At 31.5% G+C, this 18993-nt stretch overlaps 1 protein-coding gene across 64 annotated transcripts in view; it reads right to left on the bottom strand.

Moving 5' to 3' along the window:
* The window catches only part of RIMS2 (regulating synaptic membrane exocytosis 2), a 755485-nt gene that overhangs the window by 205562 nt on the left and 530930 nt on the right, over positions 1 to 18993 (bottom strand). For 20 of the 64 annotated variants that reach the window (NR_145711.2, XM_017014010.3, XM_017014016.3 and 17 more), the window contains one exon: positions 9175 to 9207. The exons of 43 other annotated variants lie outside the window; for them this stretch is intronic. Coding sequence is in view for 20 of the 21 variants with exons in the window: in XM_017014010.3 (XP_016869499.1) it covers positions 9175 to 9207 (33 nt within the window). In the remaining variant the exon portion in view is untranslated. The remainder of the gene's footprint in view (positions 1 to 9174; positions 9208 to 18993) is intronic. One more of the 64 variants, NM_001348509.2, reaches the window with a different exon arrangement.

Here is an 18993-nt window from a genome sequence, read left to right as displayed (position 1 = left end):
GCTACTTTACATAGCTGGTTTCTTCTTACTCTTCTGGTTTAGTCTTCTGGTTTAGTTCAAACATCACCTCCTTAGATAAGACTTCCTGGATTATTCCATCAAAAATAGCTCCTTCCCCACCCCAATCCCACTAGGTTACATAAGAATTTTAAATAAGAGCACTTAAAACTAAGTTTAACGTTTTAGGGACTACTTTCTCTCAAAAAGAGAATTTCCATGAGGGGAGATCTTGTATGTCTATGTCACTGTTATGTCTCCAGCACCTAGAATAAGGCCTGATACGTATATATTTAGTAGCTGCTTGTTGAACAAATAAAATTTTTGGAATATAAAATATCTTTATAGTAGAATAAGAATTTCAGAAATAACCTTTCCTTTATGGAGAGCAATTATATTGTATTACAGTTTAATATACCATATAATAACCAGGAATGATTTGAGTCTAGCATAGCCAAATTTGCTGGTTATTTGGCTATTTTATAAGGAGATTTTAATAGTCTGTCTTGGAATGTTATTCCTATCTTAATAAAGACTCATATATTCACTACTAACACCTGAAATCTAGAATTGACTATAATTCTGAGCACAAAATATACATTTGGGCATTAGAAACATATTTAAAGAAGGAATTTGAATAGTTTAAAATGATTTTTATTAACAATTTGCTTTTGGCCACCTGCTAGACATTTAATGAAAAATTTATCTAATTTTAAACACAACTCTTCAATCCTAAATGAGAAAAGTGGTAGACTATGTCTTTTTGTGTGTTTTCCTTTTTTGAAATTTATTTGCTTGCTATTGAAGTGGAAAATTTTTCATTTTGGCTGGTCATTTATTTTTATTTTTCTGTTGGTTGAAAGTATACACACATGCACACATACACACAAATTATCAACCCTCAACCTCATTTTTTTAACAATGATGAAACTGAGATTGGAGAAATTAGGAAACTTGTCCAAGATCGCATTGGCCTTCTAATTTCTTGTTTTATTGCCTGTACCAACATGCCTCTAAACAGGGCAACAGAGAATAAAACATTACTTGTTTTATTGTTCTTTAACAAAAGCATGGCTTCGGGTTTTTTTGTTTGTTTGTTTTTTGTTTTTTGAGATGGAGTCTCCGCTCTGTCGCCCAGGCTGGAGTGCAGTGGCGCGATCTCGGCTCACTGCAAGCTCCGCCTCCCGGGTTCGGGTTCACGCCATTCTCCTGCCTCAGCCTCCCGAGTAGCTGGGACTACAGGCACACGCCCACCCCGGGTAATTTTTTGTATTTTTAGTAGAGATGGGGTTTCACCGTGTTAGCCAGGATGGTCTCGATCTCCTGACCTCGTGATCCACCCGCCTCGGCCTCCCAAAGTGTTGGGAATACAGGCGTGAGCCACCGCCCGGCCTTTTTTTTTTTTTTTTAAAGAAAAATCTAGAAGTAATTTGTCTTGTTTCTGGTGCCACAGATGAACACATGAAGTGTCCAAGCTATAGTCCGATGCCCAGTTCTACTATTAAAAGAAATTTTCTCTTTTTAAAAATAATCCTAGAAGTGGGTATTATCCAAACTCCTTACTAATTCATCATTACAGGTTACTGATGTATTAAATCTGGATTCAAAATCCTACTGATTTTGCTTATAACAAACATAAATCATAAAGAGTTAATGATATTTATCTAAAAAATAACCTCGGCATAATTTGAGTTGTGTAATAATTAATAAGAGCTACCATTCTTTGATTATTTACTATGGATGAAACTTTGTAACAAGTTTTTTACAGACATTACTTTCAATTTCTTTCAAATTACAAAAAAAGAAATGTGTTTCTAATGTATATGTCAAAAAAATTCTTCATTTAAATGGCTGTATATGCATATAACTTATTTAGCCATTGCCCCATTATTTAATATTCATTGTAAGATCGTTTTTATTGTTACAAATAATGCTTAGTGAACATATCATACATATGTTTTTATTTGAATTTCTATTTCTACACAGTCAAAAGTCTATGAACATTTTTAAGGTTCTTCATTTATATTGCAGAAGTGCTTTTAGAAAGGTTATGCTAAATTTCACTGCTACTCTGTTATCACACTCTTACCATGGTTTTTTTATAATTTTTTCTCTCCACATACAGGCATCACCATGGTGTTTTAAATAGGTGGGCATGATATCTCATTTAAAATAGTATTTATTGGGTCATGACTGAAATAAAATGTTTTCATATATTTACTTACCACTGCATTTCTTGTTTGGAGAAATGTCTGTATATATCCTTTGCCCATTTTGTCTATTAGAGTTTTATTTAATATATACTTTGTAAAAGTTATTCAGATGTTAAGGCTTTTAATATTTTATCTGAGTTGCAGCAAATATCTTCCCAACTTGTGTGCCTTTTATTTATGATGATTTTGATATTCTGAAGTTTATACCTGCCACATTGTACTCAGGATTCTTCCTCTTTTTAAATTTATTTAATTGCTTTTATTTTTAGGATGGCTTTCTTTTTTCACAGAAATAAATATTTTGTGCTTTCATTAAAACATAATTAACCCCTTAATCTAGCTGGAGTTTATTAAGATTAATAAGAAGTGTTAAGCAACCAGCCCAAAGTCATATCCCTACTGACTGGCAGAACCTGAATAATAATTCGTACCTGTCTGATTTCAATGCTCTTGCTCCTTCCACCCAACTATGTTTTTCAGAAATGATAAAGCTTAAGAGTACAGGTGCAATAAGCTTGATGCATAGATTTGCTTGTCAGTTATCTCCTAAACTAGCAGTCACAAACTAGTATATTTGTAATGCATATAACAAAGAATTAATTCTAGATCATAGAAATAATGCATACACATCAAAATGCAGATGATTTGAAATAAAAATTCAGTTTTCATGTATTTTTATAAAAAATAAAATTCTTCATTTATGGTGCTTGCTCTGTACTGGACACAGTTTTCATGTGTTTTGTACACTACATTTTGGCTAACTTAATCTTTGCAATAACCATTTGAGGTAGTACTATAATTATTCCCATTTTACAGATGAGGAATCTGAGGAACAGTGTAACTTTCACAAGATCATGGAGCAAGTAAGTGGTGGAGCTGATGAGGCAGTTTAGTTCCAGAATCTGCTCTTATACTGCTTCTCAGACCAATATTTCTTACAGGAACAAATATTTTCCCTAACAGCTGAAATTTTTAGGACACAGAGTTAAGGTGGGTGATAGGCATAGGTAAAACAGAATGTTATAGTTTTCAGAATGTATGAGTAATATATTAATAATTTAGCAGTAACATCCTTTAATTTCCAATGTAGACAAAATTTTATATCTAAAAAGAACTAAAAAATGTTGCATTCCAAACCTCATTTTAAATGACTTACTTAATCACTAAATAGCTACTTGTTCCACAGCTATTTGTTCCATGTTGGGGCATCCTTACTCTTTTGAGTCCCAAGAGCTTTAACTCTTTTCTTTTATTTGAATATTTATAAGCTTTAGTAAATTGAGCTTAAGTATCATACTTTATCAATAGAAGCTGTCATATAATTTGTGATATATTTTTATATTATACGTACATATATTTCATTTGAGACTTTTGTTTAGATGTATCATAAGAATACTTAATAAAATATTTAAGCTTAAGCTTATATAAAATATTCCTATATACTAACATTTAAAGTATCTAGCCCAGTATTGAACATAGCATTGACACTTTGTGCCTCCTTATAGACTGAGTGATTTGCATTTTCAAGATTTCAGGGTACTAGGGTTATATAAGGTTTTCATGACTGAGCCATCATGAGTATCTCTGTCTTTGACTTTCATCAATAATACTGAGTTAATCAAATAAAGGATGTAATCAATGCACACAGAGTATCTATAAAATGGATAGAATGTGAAATATAATTGATAATAATAATGAAGATTTTGGAAAATTTCAAGAACAGCTTATATGTGCATTTATATGTGTCCGTACATGCACATATATTAAATTACTACTATAATGAATGTTACTTCTCTTCACTTTTTAGGACATAAGTATAACAACATGCCATATAAAAGCACAGAGCATTCAAAATATGTCATATATGCCACTCAAATCTGACAAGAATTGATATACAAGTTTGAAATAATACATGCTAGTCTGAATATTTGTGTCTCCTCAAAATTCATGTTGAAACCCTAACAACTAAAATGAGCATATTAGCAGATGGAGCTTTTGGTGGGTAATTAGGTCATGAGGGTGTTGTGGGATTTGTGCCATAATGAAAGAGGCCAAGAGAGATCCATTGCCCCTTCTCTCATATTAAGACAAAGGGAAAAAAAGATGGTGGTCCATGAACCAGAAAGCAGGCCCTAGCCAGACACTAAATTTGTTGGTGCCTTGATCTTACTTAGACTTTCCAGTCCCCAGAATTGTAAGAAATAAATTTTTGTGAATTATAAGCCACCTAGCTTATGACATTTTGTTACAGCAGTCTGTATGGACTAAGATAATACATATCAATGGGCAACATTCAGAATAATCAGAGAACCAAAACAGAAAAGAATACTGTAATTGTATTAATTTTTAGAAGTTTCACTTAGCTAACCCTAACAGGAAGTGATTTTACTAAACATTATATTACAACACAAAATATATGTTACTTATTCCCAACTGTATTTTTATTAAGAAATGTTTGAAATCTATTCAATTTGAATTGTTAAGCTTTTCAAATTAACATTAGTATCTGGAAGACAAATGGATCAGTCTGAAATAGTAATTTATAACATATTTTCTCAAACTCTTAAGGTAGCACAGACCCAACTGTAATAATAATTTAATAATTATTAACATATCATAACAAAAATAAATATCACAATAATAATAATTGATCTAAGAGACTGGTGAGAAACATAGCTGACAAAACATTTTTTATGTTGAGATCTACTTATGAGTAAAACTGATATATTACACAAGCACTAATCTTGTCAGATGCTCTAAATCAGGTCTGGAAGTAATTCTAAAAATTTGTGTAGCTGAAACTTAAGATGTTGTTTCATGTAACTTAACAAATAGTATTTTAAAATTTATTTTGTATTAGACTTGTTTAACAATTATTTTAAAAAATTGTCATATGAAATTTCATATGAGTAAGAAAAGGTATAATACACCCTAATAAAGCATGCTACTTCTCATTTAAAATAAACTTCATTATGATTTGCAAGTGCTAAGTCAACATATTTTGCTGCTTCAAAATGTGTAATCAATTCCTCCATTTATTGTGTAGAAGATGTTGTAGTGACTGTAATTGGACCTCGTAATGCAATTGAAGGTCTTATAATTGTGGTTTAAACATAAAACATACATTTTGACCAAATATATTAGTGAAGTAATTGGACTTGTGAAATTATTTCTCCATCATATTTTGGGCTAAAATTTATAAAGAAAGATAACCAACTTGCATATTAATTGGAGATGTGAGTGACAGGCTAATAAAGATATTACCTTTTATTGGTCACATACTACAGTCAGTTTTTGAAAAGCCTTAACTTTAGTTTGCTTTTATTAAACAGGTGAAATACATTCTGAATTGCTTGTCACAAAATTTACTGCTTCCTTTTCTAAAATAATTTCCTTTTTCTCTGAATGTTTTCTTATCGTCTGTATTATTCTCTCTTTACTCTTACTTTGGAAGAGAATGCATTAGTCTTTATTTATCTCTAGGCTTATGTGAGTTTGTAGAATCCAAAACACAATGCTGGTTAACATAGACCATGTCTCCCTTACAGTATTAGGGGTCTGTAACAGAAATCCAGAAAGCTCAGGTTTCAACTTCCTCATACTAGGAAGAAAAGGGGTATTATAGATCTATAGCTACCATTACAATTTTAAAAGTGTATGTTAAGAAAGACTTCAAATTATGTTTAGTTAACTATGATAATTAATTTAGAACTTAATATTTGAAGACAATAAAACATTTTTGCCTCCATAAATTTAAACATCCCACATACATCCTAGATACCATTTTTTTTTTTGTAAGAAAAGTTGCTTCCATTATTAATCCTCTCCTCTTTGGAGTCTTCAAATTCTCCCAACCAAGTCCTTTTCCTCTGCCTTTATGCATATCATAAAGATTCCTTTGCTCAACCTCTAAGTTGTACCTCTGAATTTTCTTCCCCCTCTAAGCTTAAATTCCTTATTATTCTCCTTGTTTTGCTACTACTAAATTACATGGTTCATTCCTTCCAACCAGCATTCGTTCTTAACATTTTCCAGTCGGTACTGTCAAAACCCTACTATCCTGAGCTTCTTTCTCTAATTCTTTCTGCATTGCTTAGAGACCTCCTAATCTTTTCTACTGTGGTCTGAAACCCTATTGCTTTTACTTAAATACAATATATCCCTCAGCTTCATCAGAGAACGTTCATTTCCTTTCGTATCATGAATGGAATGTTGACCCTTCAAGAATACTATCTTCCCTGAGGGAAACATTCTGAGGGGAAGCCGCTCAAAATCCTTTAACTTACATATATGCTATACAATCCCAGAAACGGTATCAGCATTCTTGGTATAAATTGCTCCTTCCACATGTTTACTTTTCTAATCTATGTGAAGTCTATGCCTTTTATGTTCATAGCATTATTCTTCCTTGTTGCTACCATCTATATTCTAGGCAATTTCCTTCACATATCTATCAAGCTGAGGCCCTCAATAATTTCATTGTCTGTATAAAAATGCTAGCATCAAAATTTGTAGCTTTATTTGCATTCCCAAACTGTAATCCATGCTCCATCTTGGAAACTCACTCCTTGAAACAAACATTGTATCTTCACATTATTTGGAATTGTCCAACATCTGAAAATTCTTAAGATAATTAAATTGTCTCTCATAATAACCTGCTCAGTTTGCTTCTATTGCCTTAGATATCGCTACAAATTTCAGTTCTATCATTGAGACCTTATCTCCCAATTCATGAAAAATTCTGCATGATTTCACATGAAAACATGATTTAACACAACTAACATCCTTCCCAATCCATTTGAACATTACTTCAACTACTTCCCTTGCCAACCACCCTTGACATCCCTATTCTTTTCTTCTTTCTATATAACCGCCCACAAAGTTCCAACTGTGATCCAAATGATTAATTACTACATCCGAAGTGTGCTAATGAGCCAATCATTACACAATCTTAGAGAACCAATGCCATCACAAATTTAGGGTCTCCACTCAGCTAAACTATAACCATTCTTCAGGATATCCTTGGGGACCTTCCTGTCTTATTTCCCATGGTATTCTTAACTTTAAAATTTCCCCAAGCCATCAAGAAGCCTAGTTTATATTAACTACCTTCATTTTTTTCTTTTCCATCTCCTTTCCCTTCTCTTCTATTTGGTTTCTACCTACAACTTGACTGAATCAATAAGGCAAAGATCATTACTGTCTAGTTCTACCATTTAACAACATATTTGTCTTCTCTGGAATTTGTCTCTGCTGATTGTACCCCTTTCTTAAGATTCACTTCTATCACAGATTTTTTTAAATTCTCTTCTTTCATGAATATCCGTCTTTAATCATTTTCAACATACTTTTCTGGCTTTTGTTCTTTCATCCATTCCTTAAATGTAAATAAGTGCTGGTGATCCCCAAATTTTGATTCTTGTCTCTCTTATTACTCTTCATATGCTACTGACAATTCCATTAATTCCAATGGCATCACTTGAATGCTGATATGCTACCCTAATCTATGTCTCTAGCCCAGACTTCTCTCCTGAATTCCAGACCACCAATCACCTCTATAAGATATTTATACTTGAATATTTCAAATGAGGCTTAAATTTTACCTATCCTAAAAGTGAACTCTATCTTTCCCCTGAAACTTGTATAACATATATTCTCTATCCTGATAAAATGTACCATCAAACATTTCAGTCACCTGAAATCATCTTATTCCTCCTCTTTCTGCATCAATAATATCTAGTCTGATCAGTGACCAGGACTTGTAGGTTCTACATCTTTATATAACTTCTCATGTATTGACTGCCTCTACTGATACCTTAATTCAGACCATTATCATTTCTTAACTGATTCATTACACTATTCCCATATATGATCTTTCTGCTTATATTGCTCCGGTCCATCTTTTATATAACTGCCAAAGTAATCTTTCTAGAAACAAACATCTGACCTATTCTGTTGCTTTATATGTGTCAGTAACCTACATAATCTTCATAAATCGGTCTCTGCCTACTTTCGCCAAACTTGTGTGAAGCTACTGGCCATACTGTTTCCTCTGCCTGAAATGCTCTCTACAAAAGAAGCTAACAGTGTTCTAGCGTTTAATATTCAACTAAATTCTTCTATGAAGTCTTTCTTGAACTAATATCCATCCTCCCCAGGGGAAAGGAATCATACCACCTTTTCTGATTCCATTATATTTTATATATGTGTGTATATACATGTACATACATATTTTATATATATATAAAATATATACACTCACACTAGGAAACGCCTGCAAGGATAGGGAGCTATTGTGTGTCTCCTGTTACTTCCAGCACCTAGAACAGTACCACATGTGTTCAAGTTTCAGCTCAAATGTTACCTCATCCAAGACACTTTTTCTGACTGTCTAGTTGAAATAAACTTCATTTGAGTTTATATCTCTGTAGAATATATTGTCAGAATAAGCTGCCTTGACACATAAACAGTGCATGTTATCCACATCTCTTAACTCTTCAGTGATATTGATAGCTTTTTTAGGGTATTAGGTCTTTGGTATTCTCCACAGTGTAGAACACTGATGAACTCATGTTAGAAATCAAATACTTTTGGAATTATTTTAAAAAGCAAAAAACTAGTTTTAAGTCTAAAATGCTTGAAACCAAACATATGTGTGTGTGTGTACCTAAATATACATACGCATACATACACATCCTATTTGCCTTTAGTTATTCAGTTTATGGAAAAATTACATCTATACATATTACATAAAAATTAATTATTTTACTTTTATCCATCTAATTGGAGCAGTTGCTGTTGATAGTTGAATACACAAATACCTAAATTAAAATGCTCATAAGATTTAATATTTTGTTATATTACAAAGGAATGAAAAACTATGAAATGAGTAAAAAAATGATTAAACATTTCTAGGACAAGTTAGATAAATAAAATAATAACAAAAAAAGCAGAAGAGACAGACCTGCATATCTTCTCCTTGTAGAGTCCAGTTCTTCTGTGATCACATCGTGTAATGGACAGACATAGACAAAGGAGATGGGAGTGAGTGGATGTACTCAAAAGGTAAAAAGTGACACTGATGGAAAGGGCCTCAGATCATTTTGAGAAAGAATCCTGTGTACAGTTTTAGGGAAGATATAATCAAATGCATTCCACAAAAAATACGTAAGAACTGATGGCAAGTTGATTTTGTTACTATAGGTTAGCGGATTCAGAAAAATAAAGTTAGTGTAGAAATAAAGAAGATCCAGAAGTTTACAATTATTTACGTACAGCAAATCCTGAACACCAATGCTGAAGAAAGATACCATTAGTAAAAACAGTGTTAGTTGCATGACCACATTGTTCAAGACATTACTGAGTCAATTTAAAGTCTGTTACAATGCTTTCAAACTTTTAATTATCTGAAGAAAAGATTTAATTGAGTCATCACCAAAAAGAGCAATAAAAATAGTTTCAACAGATTTCTATTCCTTTTATGTTTCCCCAGTAAACCAGTGTGCACACAAAAACAAAGAATGGTCATCAGGCCAATATTTAATTGAATTATTTCAATACAGCAAAATATCATTAAAATTTTATGAAGTAATAATTATAGTACAAGTCTTTACTAGAAGAGTAGCTGAAATACATGGCTTCATTTCAGCATTAAAAATCCAAACTAAACTTCAATGTAGACAAATTTTCTTTGATCATATTCCCTTTTAATGCCTATTCATTCAACAGATTCTTACAAATGCCACTTTATAGATTATTAAAATTTACGCTAAAATGTATCCATCCAAATCCATCAACTATAACAGATATGACATGATATGTTTTGGAAAAACTTTTTTCCCTAGTGCTAGTGAAGAAGTTCAAATAACATTTTATACAGTGACTTGGAAACAGAAAAATGTCTGTTAAACTGAGCATTCTAAGAAAAAATTTCTTCCAAAGATATTAGTGTACTAGTATGATTGACACAGATGAACAATATGCCACAAAACCAAAATCTCCTATTTTAATTTAAACACTTAGCTTTGAATCAGATACTACAAATTCTAAAATCAAACACCACATTTAAGTTCTGCAAGAGTTGCATCATTATTTTTGAGTTGACTTATATAGCAAAGCATATTGCATCAAAATATACTTGCAATATCAACATATTAAAATTATAGCTCTTTAGAGAATGATTTCCTATGACAAATTTGTCTCTTTATATGAATAGTGATAAAATGAAAACATTCCATTAGATTAAGTCCATTAGTGCTAAGATGACCAAAACAATTTTTCTTAGGAAAAAACCAGAAATCTTAGCATGAATTATAGAAAACTGGAAAAGAAATGACATTTGGAAATTTAATATCATTTTTATTATTATATGAACACATTTTTTCACCTGTTGAAAATAAGACATTAAATCTCATCACAATTAAATTACAAATCATACTGCTAACAGGATTAACCCCTAGAAAAAAAATCTTCAGATTCTCCAGAAATATACTAATACACATTAAAATGACACATGCTATATTTTTGTTTCCATCATCAATCCACCTGCTTCTCAAAGAAGAATAAGGTAGGATAATCACAGTTTATTAATACCCTAGGCAAATGCCGACTTTCGTATGTTGCATTGTGTTTTTATACACAAAATTTCCCTAGATACACATTTTCCATACTACTAAAATAGTTCCCTCACAAGTAAAAATGAAATTGGTATGAAGTGGATGAAATAATGGCTTCCATATATTCCATCTCTAAGAAAAGATCTTATTGTTTGCAGAAAGTATAAAAACTACGTAAACAAATGAAGCTTTTTTCTTCATCTAGTATTTTCCTATATTTTGAATTACTTTATGTGTCATCAATGCAATGGTTTTCATATTATGTGGATCCAAACATGAAAAATTATTCTCAATTCACTCATGAATTAATTTTAGTGAATAGCAGAGGCACACATAGTTCCAGTGACTTACCCAATGATACAAAACAAGTTCAGTTGCAGAGCCAGAAATAGAACACAGGTCTCCTGATTACCAGGTCAATTTTCTTTGGACTAGGTACTATATGACCCAATAAAAACATGTAAAATACAAAATCAAACAAAGAAGAAAAAATAATTCTCTCATGGTGACGCCTGAACTGGATATTTTATTATATAGTATTTAATTGGAAACAGTTTTTTTCAAAGTGGCACATTCTACAACTGTCAAGTAATTCACCAATGCTTTCATTCTTATAAGGAATATGGCAAAACTTATCTTAGAATCAACAATAAAAATTTTTTTTTCAGGAAGTACAAAATTTATATGATTAATAAGGTGATGAAAATGAAATATTTTGAAAATGATTTCACTACTAAAAGTATCAATTAAGTCATTTGCCATAGTTTATCTGAATATGATCCATTAATAATTAGTCCATAACTAAGCCTACATAAAAATATAACTTTAGCAAATAAAAATTCATGTAATGCATAAAATCTCAATATATAACTATAGTTGTATCAGATATATTTAAAACATTTTTGGTTTTTTGGATTTCCTGTGGTTATAGTTTTATTATGTACTATTGCATTTAAACAGCCTCATTTTAAAAGAGAAACTTATAGTCAACTCCCTTACGTAAGCAGCCATGTCTTAGGCAAATGATAATATGCTGTAAGTATTTATTTTGCATATAGTATTATAATGAATAGCAGACTTCAGTGAAACTTGGAAGAAGCTAAGAGTATCCCCTCTACTTCTCCCATATTTCTCATTACCATGCCACAGTCAAATATTCTACTTTTTAGTGCAGTTAATGAAGGGTTCTAATGAGAACTCTTTCTTTTTCATTTATCCAATAACCAGTTACCAGACTCTTCTATAACTAACAAACCCAACTTTTCATCTAATCAATAACCAGTTAAGACTGATTAAGGATAGTAAAAGTATTCCCTCTTTTAGGTGTCCAGGTACTATCAAAATTATGGCTGGATCTTTGTTTCAGACAGAAAATATAAAGAATTTCTTTGTAAAAACAAAAACAAGTGCGGTATTTTTTGTTCATTCCATCATACAAAATAAAATATTTTCACAAATTACAATGAAATAAAAGATATATAAAATATAATGAATAAACTCATAAGCACCATTTCATCACTTACGGTAAATTATATTACAACAAATATTTTGAAATTTAAGATACCATCAAGTTGCAAACTATTTAATATAAAAAGCAAGATGGGTGTGATTTCATTATTGTGTATTATAGAGTGTAATTACACAAACCTACATGGTATAGCCTACTACACACCCAGGCTATGATATAGTCCTGTTGTGCCTAGGCTACAAACCTGTACAGCATGTTATTCTATTCAATACTATAGGCAACTGTGACACAATTGTATTTTGTATATCCAAACATAGAAAACATACAGTAAAAATACAGTATTATAATGTTATGGAACCACTGTCATATATGCATCCATCCTTGACTGAACTGTCATTATGTGATGCATGACTGTATATCTACATATCTACATATATAGATATTAATGCATGTATAAAATCACTTTCATCAAGCATATTTGGTAATATAGTAAGCTCATGAGAATATGATGTGAGATTTTATGTAAAATTTTGTGCAAACTAAGAATTCTTTCCTTGCCAAAGTAAAATGTTTTAACTATTGTTATGTTTCAACTGAACACATGTCTCAAGTTCAAACAGAAATGATCATCTGTAATCAACTTAAAAAAGACAAACACTTGGGGCCTCTTTATCCACAAACGCAGTTTTCACCAAGGGTGTTTGATATCTATCTGAAATTCTGCTGATTGGCTAATGTTCTCACTTACCACCATTTACAACAGGCATACACTTGGTACTGTTACCAGATTTAATTGTAGTTGAACAATATGTGTCTATGTGTCTATGTCTCATAGAAACAAGCATTATGTTAAAAACGTTCCTGACACAATGAAACAGAAGCATGAAGATTCTAAGTGTATATTAGAATTTGAACATAATTAGAAGCTAATCATAGTGTGAGGGCTCATTAAAGGTCACAGAGTCTTAGAATGTTTCCTTTGGGGGAAGGAGAGATACCTTTCAAAAAATAAGCCTAAGTAAGAACCTAGTAGGAGGACCTCAGTGATACAAAGATCAGAATAGAAGTCTCCTATAAAAACTAAATGCTTACCAAGTTTACAGATGACAAACTAGAACATCTCCACAGTGACAAAACCTTTTTGAAAAATTTCTCAATCCAAATGATGTGAACTAATCATTTCTAAACTGATTATTTCCAATAATTTTGTCTACAACCATAAAATTACTGAACATTTACAATAATTTCAACCTATTAAATGGCCATCTATTAAATTAGGTGCCGTATTTTCAAATACTTTGCTATTTTTAAAAATTCACTATACTTACATAAAAAGGTTATTTTTTATTTACTTTTTTGTTTTTAGAAGGAGTCTCACTCTGTTGCCCAGGCTGGACTGAAGTGGCACGATCTTGGCTCACTGCAAGCTCCGCCTCCCGGGTTCAAGCGATTCTCCTGCCTCAGCCTCCTGAGTAGCTGGGATTACAGGTGCACGCCACCACACCCAGCTAACTTTTGTATTTTTAGTAGAGACAGGGTTTCACCATGTTGGTCAGTCTGGTCTCGAACTCCTGACCTCATGATCTGCCCACCTCGGCCTCCTAAAGTGCTGGGATTACAGGTATGAGCTCTTGTGCCCAGCCTAAAAAGGTTATTTTTTAAATGCCTTCCTATTTTGAGCTGTGCTGTTTTTCCCTGACTTTATCTTTGAAATCCAACATATAATACATTTTTAAATGCAGAAAAAAAGAGAGTATGTACTGAGGGAGTTTAAAATAATTTATTTCCAGACCGGGTGGTGTGGCTCATGCCTGTAATCCCAGCACTTTGGGAGGCCGAGGCAGGCGGATCACGAGGTCAGGAGATAGAGACCATCCTGGCTAACATGGTGAAACCCTGTCTCTACTAAAAATACAAAAAAATTAGCTAGGCATGGTGGCCGGCACCTGTAGTGCCAGCTACATGGGAGGCTGAGGCAGGAGAATGGGGTGAACCCAGGAGGCGGAGCTTGCAGTGAGCCGAGAATGCACCACCGCACTCCAGCCTGGGTGACAGAGAGAGACCCCATCTCAAATAAATAAATAAATAAATAAATAAATAAATAAAATAAAATAAATTTTATTTTGAAACTATAGCATGCTGTTTATCATAAGAAGGATGGTTACTGAAAAATAGGCTTGGCATTACAAACTTATCTGTATGTGCAGAGAAAACTGAACTAATTTTAAATGAGCAACTAACTTCATAAATCATGAAATTTCACTTCATGGTTACAATGAAAGAATGTGTTATTTACTTCTTAAGATACTAGTAGTAGTTATTCCAAATTCTATCACCTGATTTGTCATATAAAACATTTGTTTGTCTTACATAAATTTTTTCAATTAAGAATAAAATATGTTTATTTTACAACAATTCAGAAATTATCAAGCTGCTGATAATGACCAAGAACAGAACCCTAATTCCTTTTTCCAGACTGGATGGCTTAAACTAGCATTTAATAAGAAGACTGATGTGGAATACTGCTTTAGACTAAAATAAATTTTTTCTACTTTCAAAAAATCTTAAACATTCAAGAATAAAAAGAAACAAAAGTACAAAGTATCAAAATACTCAAAAAAAATTTCACAGTATAAAATTCACTAACAAAATACTTAATTGAATATTTACTTTTCCTAAAGATACATTTTACAAAACATAATTCCAAAGGTAAAATTAAGTAAAAAAAAAAACCTACCTACACTATACTTATATATTCCATAAAGAACACAATATGGAAATGTACATGTTAGAAAAAAATTAAAGATTAATATATTAATTAAAGCAAATAATGCCAAATCTGGGAGCTTATGTACACATTAAAATATTATAGTAAGTTGTAAAACACAATTTGTTACTCTGAATATTTTCAATTTTCAAAAATACTGTTAAATCATACAGTATATCAGCAAAGGGTTTAGTTGCCTTCACTTTTACAAAAAAAAAAACAGTTATTTTCCATATAAGATACAAGATAAGAGCACGTTATGGTTTCAGTTGCAATAACAATAGCTGTGTCAATTCAAGATTTTCCTAGATGTAGCATAACTTACACTCAGAAAATAACAAATCAAAGCTCATAATCATTTTAAAGTTATATGTCCAAATAAATAAATTCTGAACTATATAAGTCCAAGATTAGTTTCTAAGACTAATTTTGGAGAATAGGCAAAATTGTAACTCTTCCAAAACATTCATTAAGCCTGAAGAACTTCTAATTTAAGGGAGCTTTCCCACTACTTTTTTGTGTGGTAATTAAAATATCAGCTTAAAATATTTTATGTGTAAATGTGCTCTTTTCTCATAAACATTTCTAATTACTATAAGGAAAGATAAACTCACAAGTTAAAATTATTAATATGATAAATATTACATTTCCCAGTGATCTTTATCTATACTGATGTCAATTAAGGTAAAAATACTGCAAGTAGGGCTGGGCACCGTAGCTCATGCCTGTAATTCCAGCACTTTGGGAGGCTGAGGTGGGTGGATCACCTGAGTTCAGGAGTTTGAGACCATCCTGGCCAACATGGTGAAACCCCGTCTCTACTAAAAATACAAAAATTATCCAGGCGTGGTGGCGGGTGCCTATAATCCCAGCTACTTGGTAGGCTGAGGCAGGAGAATCGCTTGAACCAGGAGGTGGAGGCTACAGTGAGCCGAGATCACCCCATTGCACTCCAGCCTGGGCAACAAGAGTGAAACTCTGTTTCAAAAAAAAAAAAAAAAAAAAAAAAAGATACTGCAAGTAAATCACTTGTTTTGCTGATAATCCTCTCAAGACATCCCAGTTCAGAAATACCAAGATCATTCTTTAAAAAAAGCAATTACTAGTCATAGTACTCAAAATTCATCCAAATACTTGTTAACTCGTTTTCTAGTCCATGTCATACCATTTAGCTCCTTGGTTCTATAGTCTCACATTTAAAATAAAAATTTCAAGTGTTATTTGTATTGCTAGTAAACATCCCAGAAATGGCAAATTCCCAGGTATTATAAATTGTTCTAGCATAGATTTTCATAAAACACCAATTGAAAAAGAAAACAATATATGCTATTGATGCACAGCCAACTTTCCATCTCAAGTTTGGGCTCATTCCCATACAGTTTTTCTGATGCCACAAGTTTGCCCCATTAACCCTTTGACAAGGAATCTTTGACAATTTATTGAAGTGGGTTTCTTAGATTTCAGCACATAAAAATTATACATTAAGCACTTTATATTCAATAGATTATTAATATCATAAATGCACTTAAACATAAGAGAAATAACTCCAAACATGTCTTCTGTAAAGCATAGGCATATATAAACATGTTGTTGAAATATCATCTGCTATACCTACATCCTACTACTTTCCTCCCATTTTATCACTCCAAAGTTTTGATAATTAAAAATATTCTTTAAATATCCCAATTTCCTTTTAGAAACAAACAGATAAGAATATTTATGAAGCACTAAAATTTAACATTGTTTTTACTGCCTTAGAATATTGCATACTTACTCATGACATTTAGGGTTTCAATTTCCAGGACCAATTTTCCTAGTATACAGGAAAAAAAAAATCGCCAAAACAAAAAAAAAACTATAATCATTTTCAACTATGACATTAAGACACTATAGTTAAATTCAACTAAGTAAAATATTTAAAATAGATCTTTAAAATGTTGTGTTTCTGAGATGTCAAAATATTTTTTAAATATTGCATTGTTTTGTGTTTTAATATACAATGTAACTTATTTACATAGATACATATGGCCACAAACATATTCATGTATTGGACATGATGACAAAGTGGACAACAAATAAATAATAGCTTATGATCAAGGATAACCTGTATCACACAATGTAGCAAGGGGAGAGGTTTACAGTAATAATTTTTGATATATAAATCATAACATAAAACATTAATTTTATATTTATCTTGTTTACTTAAAAATATCCTTAAATATATTAAGCTAATCACTATTTTCCCAATAAACTGATATGAACTGAAGATTTGAAAAAATATATATTTTCTTACAACTTTATGAAAAAATTTAAATTCCCAATGTGAATTCCAGTTTATTTTATTACATTTTCAGTAGGTACTGTTTTACTAAAAAATAATTCATAGATTAATATTAGCACTACGCCATCTTTCTTTGCTCTTCAGACTTATGTTACATGATACATTTTCTCAAAGCATCCTATTCTCCTTAATAGCACTTACTACAATTGTAATAGCTTAATCATTATTATAATTATATTTAAATTATGTATTTTCACAGACATAATATGCTGTGTGAGGGTAACTGCTGTATCTGTCTTGTCTACTCTAATAGGTCAGTGCCAAGTATAATGTTTGGAATACAGAAGGATGGCAACAAATACTTGTTAAAGACTAGTTTAATTTTTACATTGACATCTTTTAAAATATGGGTCTTAGAGCTGTAACATGAAATAATGAGTCAGCACATAAAAATACTTTAACATTATTACTACAGACACAACTATTTTTAATTATAATATCATTAGTAAAACTCCCCTTGAAGTTTTAAATTTTCAATGAAAATTTCAATGTATTCTCATCCAATTACTAATTAAAAGTAGTACTGGTTTTTTAGTTAATCAATTATCTCTGCACTTTGTCTTTTTTCATTTTATTCTTGGTTCAAGTTTTGTCTTCTACTTAATCCATTTACGCCTAGTGTTCCATAATTGGAATGCTAAGCTTGTGGGAGTTATTTATATCCTACTGCTTAAGGTCATTGCCAAGGTCTGATTTTCACACAAAAAAATGTGTAACCTCCAGCATAAATGGGTTAATTATATCTCTCCACAAAAAAATAAGGAAGGGAGAGGAAAACAAAAACACTTTGTTTCAATTCACTGGTAGAATTAACAGTTTGAAGAGACTCCTTATTGAATTCACATACTATGCTAACCCTCTTCCTTGTGGTTGGTGATATTTTTTATCTCCAGAGATTGTAAATAAATAATTACCAATATATGGTATAAATATCTCAATAGCATTTGCAATTAAATAATGGAAATATCCTACAAAGACAAACTTTAGATAGTATATTGAGCTTTTATTGTACTTTTTAGGGAAGCAAGTACCTCTGCATTAAAGTACTTCAATTTTAGTCAACATAATCAAATATGTAAAGTGGATGACCATCTGTATTTAAATTAGTCATTTTTTCCCTAAAGGACTAATCTTCATAATAATAAAATAATTATATTTTTTCCCAAAATATGTGTAATTAGTTTTCTAAACAAATCTTGAAATAAAGTATTTACCACACTAATCTAAATGGAATCTACACACTATCAAGTCCACACCAAAATGAGAAAAATGAGGTACAACAAGCACACACGCATTTTAAAAAGCATGAAATGCAATGCTTGTAGTCTCATGCTTTCATATGGTTTCCAAACCCTGACAAACCTGTCTCAGACTGGTGTTTCTTTTTCGGCAATGGTTTGTCATCACTTATTGTACCATTCACCTTTTTCTGCTGGTCTTCCCATGTAACTTCTAGTATAAATCAAAAATAATAATCAGGGCTTATCAGAAACATTAGATAATATGCATAACAAGAATCTAAATATACTTCAGGGATCTATGGGATTTTGGGGGATATTTTTCCTAAATTCTCACATAAACTATGTAATATG

The sequence above is a fragment of the Homo sapiens genome, chromosome 8 (assembly GCF_000001405.40).
Source record: "Homo sapiens chromosome 8, GRCh38.p14 Primary Assembly".
Taxonomy (NCBI): domain Eukaryota; kingdom Metazoa; phylum Chordata; class Mammalia; order Primates; family Hominidae; genus Homo; species Homo sapiens.
Note: the sequence above shows the minus strand (reverse complement) of the source record. Positions and strands in the feature narration are given on the sequence as shown.